The sequence below is a fragment of the Homo sapiens genome, chromosome 3 (assembly GCF_000001405.40).
Source record: "Homo sapiens chromosome 3, GRCh38.p14 Primary Assembly".
Taxonomy (NCBI): domain Eukaryota; kingdom Metazoa; phylum Chordata; class Mammalia; order Primates; family Hominidae; genus Homo; species Homo sapiens.
The window spans coordinates 18,410,669-18,431,304 of NC_000003.12; the positions used below are offsets into that span (position 1 = coordinate 18,410,669).

General features: G+C 38.4%; 1 protein-coding gene across 13 annotated transcripts in view; it reads right to left on the reverse strand.

Moving 5' to 3' along the window:
• Positions 1-20,636, reverse strand: part of SATB1 (SATB homeobox 1) — a 100,216-nt gene that overhangs the window by 65,292 nt on the left and 14,288 nt on the right. For 9 of the 13 annotated variants that reach the window (NM_001322874.2, XM_011533989.3, NM_001322872.2 and 6 more), the window contains 4 exons: positions 10,089-10,323; positions 6,234-6,410; positions 5,339-5,465; positions 4,443-4,566 (listed from right to left, as the gene is read on the reverse strand). In NM_001322874.2, coding sequence (NP_001309803.1) covers positions 4,443-4,566; positions 5,339-5,465; positions 6,234-6,410; positions 10,089-10,299 — 639 coding nt within the window. In that variant the 5' untranslated portion in view covers positions 10,300-10,323. Of the gene's footprint in view, positions 1-4,442; positions 4,567-5,338; positions 5,466-6,233; positions 6,411-10,088; positions 10,324-12,958; positions 14,672-20,636 lie in introns of those variants that run through there. The other 4 variants (NM_002971.6, NM_001195470.3, XM_011533990.4 and 1 more) reach the window with 2 other exon arrangements.

Here is a 20,636-nt window from a genome sequence, read left to right on the forward strand (position 1 = left end):
GAACAAATTTCATAGATTAGACTCTCATGTGAAATGCAGTATATGAACACTGATGCTGGCTATTCTCTTAAGAATGTGCTTACTAAAACTGATTTAAAATTTTAAGAAACATGTCATTCCAGTCCAAAAACTGTGAAATAAAGTACAGTTTATTAAAAACACATTTGTATAACATGATAGATTTGTAATTGTTGCTCCAATATCATTTATAATACAGACTGAACATCAACTAAACACCTAAGTGTATTTAATTCCTACGGAAATGACTGTCATGTTTCAGGAGAGCAGTACTGAAGCTAAGCTTCAGGAGCACGAGGTAGTTTCTTTTTAAAATTTATTTTTCCATTAATAAATAAATTGTCCAACATATTTGAGATCTCAGGATGCTGTGAATAAAAGGAAAGTTGGAAAATCATCTTTCTCAATATTACTTCTAAATGGAATGTTCAAATTTATTTTATATATATTTTGCTACTTGAAAATAAAAATAACACTTCTCACCCACTTTATATGACTTGGCTTAAAGATATCTTTTCCAGGTGAGAAATAAGATAGAAAATAATCCAATGCCTTAAAAATGTGAAAGTTGTGATGTGTGTGTGTGCACGTGTGCACGCGCGAGTATGTACGCCCACATGTGTGGTGAAAGAGGGAAGGTAAAAATGCGCAAATCAGATTAAAACCTCCATGAAATATTTGACCTAAACATTTTTAGAAGGAAGACATTACGCTGGTAGAAGTAATAGCTGACCTTTACTTAACAAAATGAATCTACCCTGTATCAGAATGTATATACATTTATCTAGTTTTTAAATGCAATTTCTAAAACTCCAGGGAAAATAAGCATCAAAATGTTAATGTTTTATTATAAATAAAAATGTTTACTTTTTAAATTCCCAATTTTCCTCCCAAATCCATATCCTCAAAAGTTTCATGACTACAGGCTCTCTTGTCCCCAAATCAGTGTTTATTCTCTCCTTAGCTGCAGTTCAGAATGCACCATCCAACTTATCTAACCACATCCACCGAAAAAAACAAAAGTAACAACAAAACATCTAACCTCAGACCTATAATGAGCTAAGTGTTTCTTATGTCTTAGAACATTTTACAAAAATAAAAAAACACATGGTACAAAGAATTTAATAAATTAGTGTCAATCGATTTGGGCAGATTTATGATAGGAAAGTGATAACAGAAATAAAGGTATGAGTTGTAAATCAAACTAAGCCCACTTATGGAATTTCTGCAGCTGAAGAAAACCTTATGAATATCATCAAAGAAAACATTATTGTACCCAAATGTAAGTATTCCTTTTTTTTTTTGAAACGGAGTCTCGTTCTGTCACCAAACTAGAGTGCAGTGGTGCTATCTCGGCTAACTGCAACCTCCGCCTCCTGGGTTCAAGCAATTCTCCTGCCTCAGCCTCCCAAGTAGCTAAATCAGCACTTTAAAATTTATTGTCAGGCAAGGACATAGGCTTAGCAAGTCAGGACTTTCTTGTTAGTCATTGCACCGTGACTTTAATCTCCAGGGACACTGGCTCCTTCAATTATCAAAAGGAGGAGCCTAGGAAGGATAATCCCTTCTGGTTCTAAGAATCCAAGTCCAAATGGACATTTGCTTAGCAAGTATTAGACAATCGTCCTAAGAGCATTGGAGGCAGGGCTTATTCAACACCCCAGGCAAAATCCTGGTGGCTCCCCAGTTCCACTCCTCCTGGCCCCTGCTCTATAAAAGGAATTTACCTGCCCACAGGGTGAACTTTCTACTAACTATAATATTTAGGGCCCCTGTAGCCATACTTGCTACTGGAGTACTTTATCATATTCAACAAAATAAAACCCTTACTGTACAGTAAAATGTGTATGGTGTATTGCATGCTAAAGGTTCTCTCCCATGAATGAATCAACACTCCACAGGGGAAGAAAGGGCTTAACACTTGGCATTTCTTGGTGTTAGGTCCCATTTTGCTCAAGACTGAGGCCATATTTATTTGCTAGGCTTTTTTCACCATGACATCTTCATCACCAAATCTTAACCATAGGAAAAAGAGTAGTTTTGTCAAACTTGGCATATATTTTGGACATAGGCTTTAGGGAACTTGCATCTCTCATTTTAATAACTCTAGACAGAAAAACATAATAAAGAAGCAAACAGAAAACAGTTTATGTTGAAAAAATTCTGACTGGAGTATCAGATTCATAGAAAAAGAGAAGATGATTCAGCAAAATATAAAATAAGTACCTCATTTAGAGAACAATTTACATGTTTTCATATTATTAAATATTAATTTCAAATATTTGCTTTCACTCCTAAACTATGCATAATTTTTAGAAGTTTTTTTATGGAAAAGAATACTGCAATTATAACTGATGTTGATATTGTAGCCTAGTTCCATCACTTAATGATTACAGTGAGGTATCCAGCCACAGGAAGCCATATATCTGAAAACCTCTCTCTATAGAAATTCACCAATGTATGACTCCAAAACCAAGTCCTGAATTACATTTTGTCATTCTACTTAATGTTATAATTGTATGCAATTCATTTTCCATGATAACATTAAGTAAATTCACAATTCTATTTATAAGTTATAGTGAGGTAGAGTTTATTGGCTGAATGTTGATGTCATTTAACAATTAGTTCTCACTGACTGTATCAATAAATATTTGTAACGACAGCCTCTTCTTCAGCTCATAGTAAATGCCTTAAGTATTTGTCTGAATATACTTCCAAGATCAATGGGACATTTAGTAACATAAAGACACATGCGATTCCAGTACTGGGTGTTTACATCATATTTTAACTGAGTTTTTAAAAAGTTTATTTCTAGATCATTTCAAATTTTCATATGTTAGCAACCATGTAACATGTTATCTGGAGTTGTCTGCGAAACAAAGTCCCTGAAGTAAGAGTCACCCTTTTATTCTATCATCCTATTCATTTGTGATTAATTTAAATTATTTTTATTTGATGGTTATAAATTCATATCCTCTCTATTCCAAGGGTGAGAGAGGGAAGACAGGAGATTAGCTGTAGGTATAACTGAAATGACAAATAAGAGTTTTCTCTGAATTGCAAGAAATGGACACTTAACAATACAGAGAATATGTAACCTGTGGCTATAGCTTATTTTAGAATATATAGAAAGCTATTAATTATAAACAATTCATTTGCTTCATTCCTAAAATTTCTAGCAAATATCAAAGTAAAAGTGTTGGAACGTAACTTAGCAAATCTGAAATGCATGGAGTTTCTATGAAACAGAAGCACAAAGCTGACAAGATTCCCTTCAAAGGTACCCAATAATCTTCATAAGCCTCACATTAGAAACACATTTTGAGAATATCTGCTACTCAGAATATAGCAGAAATACACTTTGAGATCTCTCCACTGCAGAAATGTTTACAGCAGCATCCTACAGTTCAAGTTCAAATGGCTAAGACTAATATTCAGAATTAAAACTCAAATTAAAAGAAAACATTAAAAATCTGGTAAAAATCTAGTTGGACCAACATTTTAATTATACTGTATCATGGAATGGCCTTAAAACGGGTTTGGGTACTGAGGGGATGACTATAACACATTTACATGGTGACCACAAAAGCAGCCCTTTAAGAGTAGATTCACAGCATCCTTTTTATTTTTTATTTGAAATCAGCTGAGTTTCATCAAAAATGATGTTTGATTTTCTGTCTATAAGCAGGTAGGCAGTCTCTATCTAGAGTTTTAGCTGCCCTCCACCAAATTTATTCTAAAAAAAGAAATCAAGGAAAATCATTAAAAAAATCTTTATTTTAAAAATCCCTGATGGTATAACAGGCATCTCAGAGGGAAAAAAGAAAATTCCACTTAAAAAAACAGAAAAGAAGTAAACCAAAGCCACAAAACTGGTCACAAAATCCTAATGAATTAACTATTCAACCTTTAGTTAAGAGTAATTATTTTCATAATTATTTGTACTAAAATACTTTTAATTTTTTGGTAATGAGTAAAGTATCCAAGAATTGTACTGTTATTTTACTCAGATAGCACGGTGAAGTTTTACACATTAACACTGACACTGCCATTCCCTCTCACCGAAGCTTCGTGGGAGTAGTACCACCTCGACTCTTTCTTAAATAAGGGCATTCAGGAGAATTTAGCCATCATGCTAATAGCACTCAGAAGACAAATCTAAAAATTAGCCAGCGGAGTCTTCCACTGAACTGTTTTTCCTGTAAACAGTCCTTTGCCTCTTTTCCCCAAGGGAGAAAAAGCCTATAGGCTCTGTTCACAAGGAATCAGGCATATTTTAAAAGGTCACCAGTGGTCAAGTCACTTTGCATTTTTGGCAGATTCTTGCTTCAGATACCAGTTGCTTTAAACCAGGGAGCTCCATCAAACCTCAAATCAGGGTTGCCCATGATGTCTTATTATTTATTACATTCTATGCTAAGTACCTGTGAAAGGGGGCACTCCTTGGCCAATGAACTCTGATTCATATCTTTCAGTAAGTCCTTCAGAGCATTCCTCACTGTGGTGTGCGACCATTGTTCGGGAGGCAAGTCTTCTAGTTTGGGGCAACTATTTGAGACATAGATTAGAAAGGGGATTATTACAAGATTGCATCCCGCTGCAGAACATTCCTTTAAGACAGACAGATTTCATTTTGCGCATCAAACAGATGCATCTGGAGATTGCTCTCGGTCTCCTGATTGTTCCGATTAGTTAATTACTTTATACAACACATCTGCTGTATCGATGCATGAATTATACATCAGCTGCCTGTGGTGGCTATTTTTTCATGTTACTTCTACCTTCCTGCTCTGATGCGCTTGGGAAGACAATTTAAGGTGTACTGCTTTCTCCTGAGCCATCATGAAAAGCTTTAATGTATTAACCGATTTCCTTTCATTACTCTGTTCATATGAATTAAAAATCATAAAAAAATAAATAAATAAATAAGACTGTGGTAATAGTGAATAAGACAGTCTTTCACAAAATGTACACAGATGGCACTGTTCATGATATGCAAAAATATTTTTTTCTTAAGTAAACTTTATGTAAAATGCCTTCTTGTGATGCATTATTTAATTGACTAAACGTAAAAAGTCTTGTCTTTTGATAACCTGCACAAACCTACACATTTTTTGTGTGTGTGGGGGGGGGGATTGCTTTTAAATTATACATTGAAGTTAGGAAAAAAGGCAGAAGGATAGGGTAACAAAATCGATCTGTATTAACCTTTCTGAAACACAGACTAAAAAAAAATTGAAGGTCGACCAGAGAGAAATGCTTCATTTCAAAAGACCAGGTAAGAAGAATGTTTCACCCTAGATTTGCTGTCTTGACTCACCTGTGTAACTGAATTTTCAATGTGACCACATGATACACATCTTGAAGCATATCTGCTACTGTAGCATCAGGGGCATCTGTCACGTAAGACAGTGGAACTGGATTCCACTTTCCAACCTGGATTAGCCCTATTTCAGATAAAGAGAATATGTCACTAAATATTTTACCCTCAGATAATATATCTACTAGAAGGGTGTTCTTTTCTTTTCTACTACCCCTACCACAAGCAGTACCGTTATTTCTGTTTGAATGATTCCCTTCCCTCTAAAAGGCAGGTCAATGAAAATATTCACAGCTTAGCTTTCCAAATTGTAAAATTATGTAAATGACTGTAGGGTTGTTTATTATTTTGGAAATAAAACCCCATCAATAAAACCTATGCATAAGGCCACATTTTCCTAACTTACAGGAAGTTCTAATAAGACATAGCCGAACCAGTTCTAAATGGCTTTATGATTTAGATAAGATTCTCTATTGCAGTGGGAATCAGCATTGAAAAATACTTTGCAGCCCATAAAACCATCAGAAACAGAATAAAAGAAACAGAACTAGATATTCAGTCATAAATGCAAATTGACTCTCAACAGTCCATCTGCTCAAATACGCTCCTCACTTCCTTGTGGGTCCTCAGTGGAGCAGATTATTAAGGTCAATAAGCATACTAATGATTCAGCTGAAGTAATTTAAAAAAAAAATCTACCTCGACATTCCACATGAGCAAAATGTGTGTTAACTAAACCAAACTGAATTAAGCCAATTTTTTAAAGCCACAGCCTATAAGGAACCAATGTAATACACAGGCTACAGTTCTTTGAATAAAAATATTCAGTGCTTTCTCTGCAAGGTAAACAAAGAATGCTAAGCAATTTTTCCAACCCCACGTACACATTATTTACCTTTGGCCTGGGCAGCAGAGCTATGTGAATAACCTAGAGACAGCAATGCCATTTCGATCAGCTGGTTGAAAAGCATATCCTTTCTCACCAGCACAAATTCTGCATGCTCCTCCTTGCAATCATATTCAATGGCGTTTTCATAATGTTCCACCACACAGAAAACTGGCAGCATGGTTCCTATCAAAAAGATGAAGAAGAAGAGATGGAAAACCAACAATCTTCAGAAATACAGCTTGGGGGTGGCGGGAGGAAATATTAGCCATGAAAATAAATAATCACAAGAGATTCACTGTGCTTCCAAGGCAGACTGGGTACAGTACAGGCAAATGCACACAAATATATACATTCTCATATTATTTAAAGTCGTAACAGAAATATTTAAGTAGAATATGAACTTGGTCCTAAGGTAAGCTGTGCTCTAAATTAACAGTGCATTTTCCAAAAGCAATGAATGCAGAATTACCTTTCTGATCAAATAATAATGGTGACGAAAGAGAAATAAATGTATCTTCTCTAATTTGCTATGAGTAGTATACAGTATGCAAACATAACTCACCATTTATCTTCAGAAGAACCCACCTTTCTACTGCTTACATGATTTTGTTAATAATAAACTTTTCCTGGGTTTGTGTCCAAACAAATTATCTTCGACCACGAAATTTTCATTTTCTTCCTTTTTTAGATATTAACTCTAACTGGTTCCACAAATCATTTTCTTCCTTTTTTAGATATTAGCTCTAACTGGTTCCACAAAAAGTACTTAACCAAACTGGTGCTCATAATACACAATTTCAATATCTGCATAATGTAGAAAAATAACATTTGCTTTTATGAATACTCATTTAACCTACCTAACTAAAAAGAGAGCACGGTACCCATAAGTCTTTAAAATCAACAATCTTTGTTACAGTAAATAAGGTAAAAATGAGAGATAGAAAAGGAAACTGACATACTAGGATAAAGGAATCTGCATAGATTTGGTGTGCTCTCTCTTTATATATTTTAATCCAATACAGTAACTCAGTAGCTAGATGATTAATAAGCACCGGCCACACTACTATTAGAAAGAGGCTTCTTCTAGAAATTGATATTACGGAATGCTGTGGTACTCAAGGTGTTTATGCAGCGCACTGTCAGACTTCCAATGATAACGGAAAAGGGTTAAAAGCAGATGCATCTGAATTGTACTGTGGCAAACTGCCAGAAGGGTATCATCTTTAGCATAAATGATGACAAGGGTTACTTTAACAGGGCACCCAGGATCCACAATTAGTCCTACAATACTAATGCCTCTATAAGCTCTGTCCTCTGGACTCACAGAATCCTACCAACTTCTGAAGATGACTTAGTGCACACCAACCGTAGCTAAAAATCAGGATTTCCTACTGACACCAGAGAGGCCCTTCAAAGATTCTCTATTTGCTTGTTTCTGCTGAACAAAAGCCGGCAATAAAACAGCTACATCTTTCTACATGTGAGTCTTCACCAAAGCTTTAGTGAACTGTTCACAAGAGATTCTAGGTCTGACAAAACCCTTTAGGTTTACTTAGAAAAACTCACAAACTCATTCGGAGGTACCAATAGGCTAGGCATGAAAAACAAGCCGCAGAGCTTGCCAATATTTTTGTCATTCATTCAGCTGTTTTATACCAGAGAAAGAACCCGTCGGGGATCAGAAGACAACTTGGGGAGACCACAGCAAAAATAGCAATATGCAAACTGGCGATTCCTTCCTTGGCTTGAAGGTATTCTGGCAAAATCGCCTAAACAAATAAAACCATTCAATCCCTTTTTCTTAGTAGTGTTTTCTCATCTCAGCCATAATTTTCATTTAGCACCTATCAGACAGAAACCATGCACATGAAAAATAAGATGAAAATGTTAATAAAAACCCACAAAAAGACTTTAGTAATTTTGTTATTTGGAGTATCTGAGACCCTCCTACAATTAAACTGCATTTTTAGAATACATCCAAAACAAAACAAAACAAAACCAAAAAGCATTTGAGCAGGAAGTGAATTTACTGTACTTTTAGTTTTCCTCCTCCTGTCCTGATATCTTCAAAGAGTTGGGTAAGTACAACAAAAATGTACACATTCATTTTTCCTTTTGTAGGATGAATCAGATGTATTCTACAATATGCTTTTCCTTAGATCTATGAAATAACTGCAGGGTTTTCAAACTATTGAAATATATTGGATTTATTGTGGATTTTATTGATCATGTTTAGAGGTACCCTAAAATAATAAAGACGGCTATAAAGTGACAATAGTACTATCTAATTACAGACCTTCTAGCAAACTGTTGCGGTTACCCTCCCGTTTCTGGGAGTAATGCTGAACACAAGCCTTTTCTGAACTGTATGATTATTCGTGCTAGTGTTTGGCGAGAGTTCCAACTACAGCAACTTCATAACCTTCCAGCATTTAAAGGGGAGAGCACTGGTCACTGCTGAATGCTAAAAATACCACATGATTTAAACCTGAAGGCAGTCTTAGAAGCTTTTGCTGAAGGTTTATGAGCCTGTGTAAACAGCACGTCTGCCATAAGGAGCAGTGAAGTCTGTAGAATCCTTGTCTAAAACTGTCCTGGCATTAAAGTTTGCTGTGCAAATATCACATAATACCAGAGACAGCTGAAATCTCCTATTTAGGAATTTATGGAACTTACATGTTTGCAGGCGTCAGAAAGTCTTTTTTATACAGCCCCAGTGCTTCACAGTACAATATTAATGCACTCTGTTTGAAAAGCCGTAATAAATTATATTTTTAATGCTCTTACCCTGGCTTTCTTAAGATGCATACATTCTTGGCAAACAATCAATAAATAGGGTAATCATGAGTAGAGGCCAAAGAATTTGCTGAAGTGCTGTTTTCCCATTTTTAATAGATAAAGATCTAACAATACGGACTGCTGTGTCTGTTCATTTCAGGATCAATATATTCTTTGTTTTCGCCAAACCAAGGAAAAAATAAATGATTGTATGATAAATGTTACGCATCAAACACAATGAAATTCCTCTGCCTTCTAACTTTATCTACTTAATATTCTTGGTTGCTAAAATATAGCATTTTTATCCATTGCTTAGCAAATGTAAGGAAAATCTGATTCCTATACATGTTATTCAGACACAAAATGAAGCTCCTTATGAGGCACATGCATTACACCCAGGGTAGGCACTGCTTTACAGGAACAACACTGTTAAACACAGTCCAAGTTGTTAAACTGCATCAATTTAATATTGGTAGAAAAAAGTCACACAGTTACACATCTTCCCCTTATAAACTTGCCTAAATCTGTTCTTTCTTCATCAAAAATACCCAATTAAAACAAAAATAAAAAACTAGAATCATCAGATTTTTTACTGCTAATGAATTTGCTCTTAAGAAAATAAGCCACAAAAAATAACATTACCAAACTTCTACATAAGATGTCCAAGATCTCTGAAACTGCCCTACAACTAAGAATCTTAGGAAGAAGCTAGGGTAACTCTCAAATCACCTAAGTGTTTTATTCTTAATCAGGTTAGTTTGAAGAAACAGCTGCCTACAATCCTCGACTACAACACCTTTTGAATGGACCCTGCCAAAACTAAAACCATTATATTTAATTCAGTCCTTATTACCCAAAATGTTCCATGATTCCAGTCTACAGTAGAACGCTCCACCCAAGCATGGAGGCTATACTTTCCAACGTGATTGATACTAAGGACCCAGAATGTAACTAATGTACGATCATAAGGAGAATAAAGGCAGAGTATACAAAACATGTTCTGCCACTCCACCCCCACACAGTGTGGCCTTGTGTAGACAACAGGGCTTTCAGCTTTTCAAGATTTGGCTTGAAGGTATTTACCTTTCCTAAGGTTGGTTTTCATCAGATGGCCCGAGTGTTTTAAAGGCACTCCCTGCATTTTTGCACCTGTACTCCCAAGCCTTCCTCTTCCTAGCGGGCTCCCGTTCTGCTCCAGGCGGGCAATCTTGGCTGGTGGACCCTTCGGATCACTCACATTGTTAGACATTTCTGAATGTTCTTTCCCCTGAGTTGCCTCGTTCAAATGATCCATACTCAGTCACTGTCTAAAGATCACCTGCCAGAATTTAAAAAGAAGACACGTTATAGTTGGGCGGGGACCTACGTGTATATATGTGTCCTATGTAAATGTTTTAGCTCTAGATATCTCTCCACAAATATAATGTATTTGTAAAATGGCCTATCTAGATATGATACAGATGTTACTATATTTCTAGATGATAGCATTACATTCTTATTCAAATTAACAAAATGATCTGTGGAAACTGTACCAATACACATGAATAAAAAGATAACTGGCCTATAAAAAAACTAAGTGGGGAAAAATGGGCTTACTTTTAGAACAAGAATTATTACAAGTATAGCTAAAAAGAAAACAGCAAATTGCATTTACGTAGTCCCAATTTTTAACAATTAGAAACACATTACAAAATACAGCAGAAACACTTTAATAAAGGATGGAAAGATGATCATAGTTCAAAATATTAGAAATCTAATGTATATGTTTTATATGTATACATTTTATATGTGTATGTATATTAATTCTTATGAAAAAAACATAAACCATCTCAAAAGAAGGTAACAAACATCTAACTGCTTTTTAAACTCCCCATTGGCTTTTGTAAATTAATGCATAGAAAAAGTTTTCTACTATCAAAGTTCCAAGAGTTATGTGACAGACCTAGTCAAGTTTTGGGCCAAAGATGTGATTGGATCAGTTTACCCCTAAAGAAACAGGAAGAAGTGAAGGGTTTTCAAATATCCAACGTACTGATGCATTAAAACTCATGTGTTTTAGAGTCAGTATTTAGGTGTCCATTAGTAATAGAGGGCTGTTAACAATAAATATTTTTAAAAAATTGAATACACTTCGTGATATGCACATTAGGTTGAAGTGCCAAGCTCAATTAAAAAAAAAAAAAACACAAACAAAAAACCTTGATGATACTGGTAAAACAAAATATCCAGTATTCAGAAATAACCTCAGCATGCAATGGCATTAACATTGTAATTAACTTCAAAAAAATTAACAGATAATTATTTTCAGTTATATATTAGACATCAATTTTCCCATCATTTATAGTAAAGTGATTAGACAATATCAAAGTCATTTTTAAAGTATAGTTTTAATTAGAATTGATAAGAACAGGTAAGTAGAATTATTTTATGAACTTTGATGGTATTTGAAGTATTGAGCTTATGAAACTAAGGGGATCATATTTAGGAAAACCAGAGAGAATAATTACCATTTTTCCTAGCTGTCTAGTAATTTGATATAGCTTGTTTTTGTTGTAAATTCTTACACTGGAGCTATTTAAATCTGGATTTGTTGAAAGCCAGTTTGTATTAGCATGGCTTTTCTGTAAATATTTTTTCTTCTGTTTAACCATAGCCTACTTCTTACCATATAATCAAGAAAAGGGGGGCAGCAATGTTAATCTGGAAGTTTAAAAGCAACCTTAAGAATGCCAATTGAAGAACTATAAAGTTTGAGAAAAATTAATGGCTATTTATCTTTGTACTCCAGAGTGGCACACTGAGAACTAAAGGTTTACCGTTGATAGAGGTCCCATCTGTTTTTGGTTATGAGGTTCATTAACAATAAATGTGCCTTTTTAAACCACTTTTTAGCAAGATTACTCTTTTCCATTATATTAAACTGCAGTCTAAAGCCAAAATTAGAAAGAGATGATTATTAACTTATTCAAAACACTCTTTATAACGTTTCATGTGGATAACACAGAGCTTTTTCTGAAATTGGTTGCCTCATCCTAGAGCAGAAGATGAATTTTAAAACATATGATTTGAAAAGAAAAATCTTTAGCCCTTGGGGCAATTTAAGAGGAAAAAAAGGGAGGGGGTGTAGACAACAGCATCAAAGTTAATGCTATAAAACATATTAAGTAATCATGAGGCTTAACAACACTAGAAACTGTACAGCAAATGAAAGTGATACATTATAATTTAATGTATTGACAATCTAAAGTATCATATAGGTCATGAAAAACTGTCCTTTGAATACCCACCTATAAGCATCTATTAAACACTAAGTCGTGGTGTAAAAAGCTTTACATTACAAACCAAAATTAAATGCGCATAAAACACCCAATTTACTCATTTTAACTCTATGCCCGGGCTAAAGTTCACCAAACCTCAGTTTGGGATTGAAAAGAGCAACCTCCAACAGGCCTGCTTGGATGACAGCAGCAGGAACTAACTATGGTCTCAACAGATGCCAGGCTGAAGAGTTTCTTTTGAGTTACACGTTACAACCCATTTTAGTGCAATGTCTGGTTGCCACACAGAAAGCAAGCTACTTTCTGAAAATCCCATTTATCTGCCCATAAACTAAGACCATATATGATAATTACTGAATAAAACAGTGAACTCAGTAACAACAATTATTTCCTTTAAAAGGAAAGAAAATCTCGAAATTCTAGTTTTTTAGGAACCGATTTTTTGCAAAGCGAGATCCTTTTCAATGAGTTTCTAGCTGGATCGCCTCCTTCGCCCCCACACAACCCCATAATCACATTTTAAGATTGTGCCCTTATCCATTCCATATGGCCGGCACGATCCAGGCCAAGCTTTCACTGTGACCTTTTAAAGAGACAAAGAAGCAAAGTACTATCTAGAAACAGAAACACTGCAGTTTTACTGAGTGAAATTAGCAAAACCGACCTGAAACTCACCACTTCAAAACTTGACAGCACATAAATAACAAAAACAAAGGAGATTTCCTTTGCAGCCCGGGTTCTTGAAGAGAAGTTCAAGACTGATGTTTTCTATGTCCTTTTTTTTTTTAATTAAAAAAAAAAAAATAAAAAAGCAGCAGACCTGAAGGCGACTTCCCCTGAAATTGTATTATTTTCCTTTCCCCTACCCCCGCCCCCCTAAGCGGGGGAAGGGCAGAAATAAACGTCTAGAAGAGTAGCCATGAGAAAGGGGTTTAAAAAAAAAATCACAATTCGAAAACCAACATATAGGGGTTTGTAAAATGTCTAACCTCAGAGAACAGGGTTTGCGATGGGGAGGAGGGGAGAGTGGGAAGCAGGGAGGAGGAAGAAGATAAAATTGATCTGACAAGTGATTCGTTGGGGGGAAATCGTAAAAACAAAGCAAAACCCGTTATGAGCTGTACACTGTGATGGTGCTGGGGAAACGACGTGGTGACTGAGGATTCTCTTAAAAAAAAAAAAATCACTGCGGACAAGGTCTCCAAAAAGGAAAAAAGGTCTCTTCGCGTCTCTCCCTCCCTCCTGCTCACTCGGGTTCTTCGGTGTGAGGACAGAAAGTCTACTTCTGGCTGTCACTTGCAATATTATTCTTCAATAACCCCGAATAACGCGCATTGGGAAGGCCACCTCGCCTCCCTTCCAATCACCCCCACCCCCCTCGCCAACAATCGCGACTAATATTAACAAACCTTAAACTTTTCCCCACAGCCTCGCACCCCCAACGAGGGCATCTAGCGGGGGACAGCGAGGGTGGGGGGCAGGGGGTCGCGAGAAAAGCCCCGGAAAGGCACTAAAATGCCACTTTTGATTCTGCCCTCGCTGACAACAGCCGCAAGGACCCTCTCCCTGCCCATTGACGCGGGGCTGTGAGCGTCTGGGGTCCCAGCAAGTGAGGAGAGAAGAGGTTCGGGGGGAGGGGGAGGAGGAGGAAGATCAGAAGGCACCCCCAGCCACCTCCACCGCCTAGGCAGCGACAAACTCCCCGCCCCCTCCCCCCAAAAAGTCGCCAAGCTCTCACTCGTCCAGAGTCCGAGGTAAACAACGAGCACCACAATGGCACTAGGACTTTGGGGGAAAAGAAACCCAGAAACCCCGACAAAACTGATCAGGAGTTTCCCGAAATGAAAGAGGGGGGCGGGCAGCGTCCTCTAGAGTCGCCCTGGCTTTCGGCTGGGCCCCCGGGCAGGATAGAGGGCGGCCGCGGCTGTTGTTGTTGTGACGAGGCCGGGTGTTGCTGGGTGGCACAGGGAGAGGTGTGTGTGTGTTTGTGTGTGTGCGTGAGTGTGAGCGCGAGTCCCCGGACGGGGCTGCTTCTCTCGCTCTCTCCCTCGCTAGCTCTACCCCTCGCTGCCGTCTCTGCCCCCATTAAATTATTAGTTGACTCATCCCGGCCGCTGTCGCTGCCGCCGCCGTGCCCCGCTCGGCTCCGCGCGTCCGCCCGGGCTGCAGCCCTCTCCGCCGCTGCTCCTGCTGCTGCTGCCGCCGCCGCCGCCGCTGCCGCTGTGGGTGCCTCTTCTTCCTCCTCCTCATTTTAATACAAAATCACCCCGCTCGCAGCCCCAGCCCCGAGCACGCAGCCTCCTCCCGGCCGCCCGCCGCCGCCCGGAGCCTTCCCCAGCGGGGCCGGCTCATCCGCCGCGTCCGGGGAACGGGAGCGAGCGAGAAAGTGGCGGCGGCGGCGGCGGCGGCGGAGGAGGAGGAGGGGGGAGGAGAGGAGGAAGGGGGTGCGGAGCCGAGGAGGAAGGCGGCGTGGGGGGGCAGGGTGCACGGAGCGGGCGGAAAAGGGATGGGGATTAAAACCCGGGCTGGAGGGCCGGGATTGGGGGAGGGGGCGGGGGCGGCGAGTTAAAAAGCCGAAAGACAAGTAACTAGTGAATGAGTGAGGGAATGGGGGGAGCGCACGATTTCCGGCCCCGGGCGCGCAAGAATTTGTAATGAGCTTGATTAGAGTGAGGCGGCCCGACATTTATTACACACAATACCCAGAATAACAGGGCGCTGTGCGAGGGCTAGCGCCGGCCGCCGCCAGACGCGCCAGGGAGGGCGCAGAGGGGAGGAGGAGAGGGGGCTTCCCTGGCAGCGTCCGCCGGAGCGGGGAGGGGAGCGCGCGGCGCGCGGGCGGCAGGGGCAGGTGTGTGAGTGGGAGGGAGGAGGGGCAGGACGGGCAGGACGGGCACGGGGGGCGGGGGGAAGGAAAATGACGGGGAGGAGGGGGCGAGGGCCAGGGGAGAAAACTAACCAACCACCCACACGCCACAAAAGCCACAAAAAGGAGTACGCCTGGAGCGTCGCAGAGGGACAGGCGAGGTGGGGGGACAGGGAGACGCACCGGCCCCGTGGGAGAAGGGCGCGGGTACGCAGGTGACAGGCGCTGAGGAATGAGGTAGGGAGCCATCAGGAAGTGGCTGGAGGGGTACAGACGGAAGGCAGTTCTCTCCGGGGAAGCGCGGAGGGTGCAGAAACGTGTACAGCAATAAAGGCCAGGAGCCTCGAAACGCTCGGAATGTTTATCCTCTAAGGAGGGTGGTCCTTAAACTATGAGGAGCCAACATTAGAAAGAACTGAGTAAGAGCGTTCTGTACTAGTCAGACGTTGGTTCAAATCGCCCTCACTTCTGAGCCATAGAATACTTTGGAAGAAGAAATACGTGGCCGAGTTAAACAAAATTTGGGTCACTTGAAAGAGACCTGACTTGTTATTATAAAGGAAAAGATGCCATCATTCTTCAAATAATTTACGCTAGGCAAAAGAGGAAAGTTTGGGTTGGTAAATACATCTGTTGTAGCAATAAACACTTCTGCTGTAATCTAGGGTAGGTTACCCAGTTAGATAAATGGTCATTACCACATAAGTATGATCCTATTATTTAGACAATCTATTAAATATAGTTCATGTAAAAATAAAGAATATTACAATGTAACCCAAAATAGAAATGCCTCATTTATCGCTTAGGTTTTAGTTCTACCATTTTAGCACCCTGAAGGCAGTTAATCATTAACAAAAAACAAGAATTATTTTTCAGAATTTGCTGGTAGGGAAAAGAGAAAAATCAGTCAGATAAACATTTTGTTACACATAAAAAAGCAACAAGTTAGCACAAGTACTGAGATAAAAGGGAAATTTGCAAATTAAGCTCTGTAAAGCCACCAATACACTCTTAGGCACACTGTTTACATTACAAATCTAAAGAAAAGCCAAAAGGTAAAGCAGAAAAGTGTAGGAAATGATGGCCTCCTAGGGGAGAGTAAGTTTAGGAGAAACAAAATGAAAATATATCACTCTAATAGCACCCACGTTTCACCCACAAACCAGAAAGGTTAGCCAAATCTGGGAAGGCAACCGTGAATCTTGGCACACAAACCCAAGCCTTGAGCAAAAGAATGAACATGTGATAAACAGAAAACACAGCATCAAAAATAGGAAAAGAAATTTAAGGCAAATTTTTAGTAAAAAGCCCAAATGATAGTAAATTTTTAAAAGTTAAAATGTGGGGAAATCTGAAGGAAGATATGTTAGCTAAAGTATAAGAAATAGAAATATGGTAGGTTAAATTTGAAATTTCCAATATGGATACTTTAATAGTTGCTTCAAACTAGTAATGCCTGACATGTTTCCCTGAAACCTGCCTTGTTTTCAGTAGGGACTGTGCACTCTAGTGCCTTGTTGTACAAATTTACAAACAATAGCAACATTTAAAAATAAAGAAAAATTATAGTGGTCCACACACACACAAATGTAATTTAGCCAGGCAATGTCACCTCAAGCTGAATGTTTTTTATAAAAGAAAAGAAAGCTGTTGGGCAAAATAAAATTTAAACTAAGAGAAAACACCACTAAACAAAGATCACGGGAAATATCAATATTAAGATAGACTGAAATAAAATATTGTAAACATGCTTATTACATCATTTTACAGAAATAAATAAGACAAAATGCCATCTGAATGTTTTACCCTCCTAATGACCTGGTGAATGCTAATATAATATGGGAATTAATACAGCAATCCTTAAATTTGAATAGCACCTTTTATCTGAGTCACAAATCTATTCAAAAACACAAAACATGAAAGTATGTAATAAGGACTGACATGGCCTTGGAAAATGATAAACAGAATAAATGAGCATAAAGGCATCTAAGAATGACTATATTATAATGAATAACAATATAGCACAATAAACTTTCCCTCAAGCACATTTTTTATTCCAGAACTATAAGAAATGACATAAGTAAAATGGCACATAGAGGTTAATGTACTAGTGGTATACATCACTGATGAAATTAATTACTATATATTAACTACCCTTTAGAATATTTCATTATAAGCCACTGAGTATTGGCCAGTGTAAAGCCAGATAAAAATAAATAACAAAAAAAGAAAGAAATTTGTCTTAGTCTGTTTTCTGTTCCTTATAACAGAATACCTGAAATTGGGTAATTTATAAAGAAAAGGAATTTATTTCTTACACTGTGGAGGCTGAGAAATTCCAGGTGGAGGGGCCTCATCTGGTGAGGGCCTTCTTCCTAGTGGGAGTTCTCTGCAGAGTCCTGTGGTGGCACTGGATATTACATGGCAAGGGGCTTGAGTATGCTAGCTCAGGGCTCTCTTCCTTTTCTTACAAAGCCAACAGTCCCACTCCCATGATAACCCATTAATCCATTAACCCATTAATCCACGAATGGATTAATCCATTCACAAGAGCAAAGCCCACATGATCCAAACACCTCTTAAAGGCCCCACCTCTCAGTATTGCCACATTGGGGATTAAATTTCAACATGAGTTTTGGAGAGGACAAGTATTCAAATAATAGCAATAATTAAGAAAATACCACCTTCCTAGGCATATGTGAACATAAACTATCACGGCAGGAGGAAAAAACTTCAATACAGGGATCTTATATTAAGCAATAATGATGCATGCAAGTATTGAAGAAAGTTAAACTTTATAAGTCTGGCCATCAAAATAGAAAACCTCAGGAACATAAAATATTGCAATTCAAATACATGAACTATTTAACATGTGGATGCACATTTAAAACAGAGTGCATCAATTTTCTATCACATGAGAAGGCATTATCCTGGCTACACACAAAATTTTTAAAAACTTAATGAAAGGACTACTGCATGTTTCAGATGGCAATGTATTAAGATAAATATGCAGGCAGATATCCGAACGCATTAAAACACATTCAGAGTTCTGAATAGCACATACATTTGTAATAAACAGAGAAAGCATTTAGAATTCGAGTGCTTTTAAGATATAGCAACTCCGCCAGTGACTGTGTTAGCAAAGCAATGCTTACCACCATAACACTTTCTAAGGACATGTTTTTTTTTCTTTTTTCATCTTTTTAAATTCAAATACAGTTGGCTATCTCTACACTCTTAAAGCAGCACAATTTATGTAGCATATTGCTCTTTTTGTCGTGTCAACTCTTTGTTTTTTGGCTTTAGCTGCAGGTGGTGTTTTCCATATATGAATTTCTGGGAATATGGTTCTCTGTTGGCCATATAAGGATGTGTGTCTGAGCCATATGTTTTGCTGTCATGTGTCTCATTTTGTCTGTCTGGGATGTCAGGACCGATTTCTGCATCGTTTCCTGAATGGACCAAATACCAATTTGAAAGAGCAGGGAGGAAGAAGCTGGGGCTGCAGCCCAAACAACTTTGTCAAAATATATATTGGAGAAGAAATGCAATATCCTGTAAACATTGCACGCTTCTTCTCACATATTATCTGTGACCGACATCATTACAACTGCATACAGTTTGGGAAACAATCTACTTGTTCAAGTTCAGAAGTTTGCAGTATTTGTATGCACAGAGCTTAATCAGATTAAGATCCTACGTCTTAAACAGATCCCACTTCTTTGGAGGTCATGGCATGGCACATGCTAGCTGCCCTACTCTGAGAGCTGTGCCTCCTGCAGCCAACCTGACCCAGCCTTGAACTTGGGGAAAGGAAGCTGCCTCATGCTTTTCTTGTCTAGTTAATAATTAGAACTCTGATTAAACTCTCTGACTAATTATGCAAGAAGTTCTGGCCCCCATTATATACCCTCACAGAATCTTGTATTTCTCCTTTGAAACAGTCATCACAGTCTTAATTAATTAACAATTTGGGTAATTACTGGCTTAATACATGTCTCCCTTACTAGACTGTAAGCCCTATGAGAGCAGAGACTGGGTGTCTTGCTCACTGCCATATTACTAGGAATTTATACAGTGTCCTTGTAATATTTATATTATAAATGAATAAATGGGAACAAAAGCTCACAGTGTCACTTGCAACCAATTTCCACTACAAATTGCATTGACAGTTTTTTAAAGTGATTGTAGGAAGAGGGAACATTGAAGAAGGTGGCTATATCATTTAAATTTGAATTAATTTAAATGAAATTTATGATTTAATTCCTCATTCACATTTCAGGTGCTCAATAGCCCCATGTGACTAATACTCTAATAGCGGACAGTGTAGATTACAGAACACTTCCTCACTGCAGAAAGTTCCATTGGACAGTGCTTACCCTAGAGAACTCCTTTAAAAGACAACTAAGGGAATCCAAGACCTGGCCAGGAGGAGTCTTAGAGGTGCTAAATGGCTTTCAGACATTCCAATGACATCTGAGTCAAGATAATTTTCCATTTTAGAATTAGCCTGTAGATCTGTAAAGTTGCAGGAAATGATACCTGTATACTGCTAAATACAAATTTAAGAACTTTCTAGACATGTCTGTACTTGAAAGGGTTCTGTAATACATTTTAAGTAATGTGTTTACTCCAAAAGCTGCTTTCCGTGAACATTTAAGTATCTCATAGGTGAAGTTAAAAATCACAGTCATTCCCACCCTTACCCCTGTACCTATATTATATAAGCATAGCTACCCTTAGAAATGCCTCTCTGGAAGCATTAATGTAGATACCTACTCGAACTGGGAGGGCATCCAGATAACAAATAATGATGCACTGCAGAGAATAATGGCAAAAAGCTTCAAAATGTTGCAGGCGAGTTAAAGGAGTGATGATAATGAACTCTAAATATAGGGTTTAAGGATTTTTTGGTTTTGTTTTCTTCCCCTAAGAAGTTGAGTTTCAGTTTTAGCTAGAATGATAGCGATCAAAAGTTATTTCCCTAATTACTTGGCATAGATGTAAATACAGAGTGGTAATTCATGATACAGTTTTAATAGACAAAGGTCATTATAGTTGAGGGGGAAAAAACCCAATGTTTATGTTTGTTTTGGGAGATCTGGAGAGGGAAAACGAGCAGCCATTGCAGCTGGCTTCTGGAAACCGACAGGATATCTGGGCCTTTTACTCAGAAACAATACTGTTTCATTGGGAACTTCATTGGAAAAAAATCTTTTAGCTACCTTTCCTTCCATGGATGTCAGTATGGATCACTTATTTGACAGGGCACGGTGGTAATAATTCCACCAAAATTGGTACCTTTATCTGGACCCAGATCCAAAATCGAGTAAGAAGAAGGAAGGATTCTTGAAATTGCCCTAGAGTCCACAAAGATGCCTCATTTTTTTCCTGTAGCTCGTGGAGTGCCCTTCATGTCCCTTCTCACTTGAGGACCTCCTTTCTGCTATCTTCTTTAACGTGCAGCTTGATTTCCCCTTGTCAGTC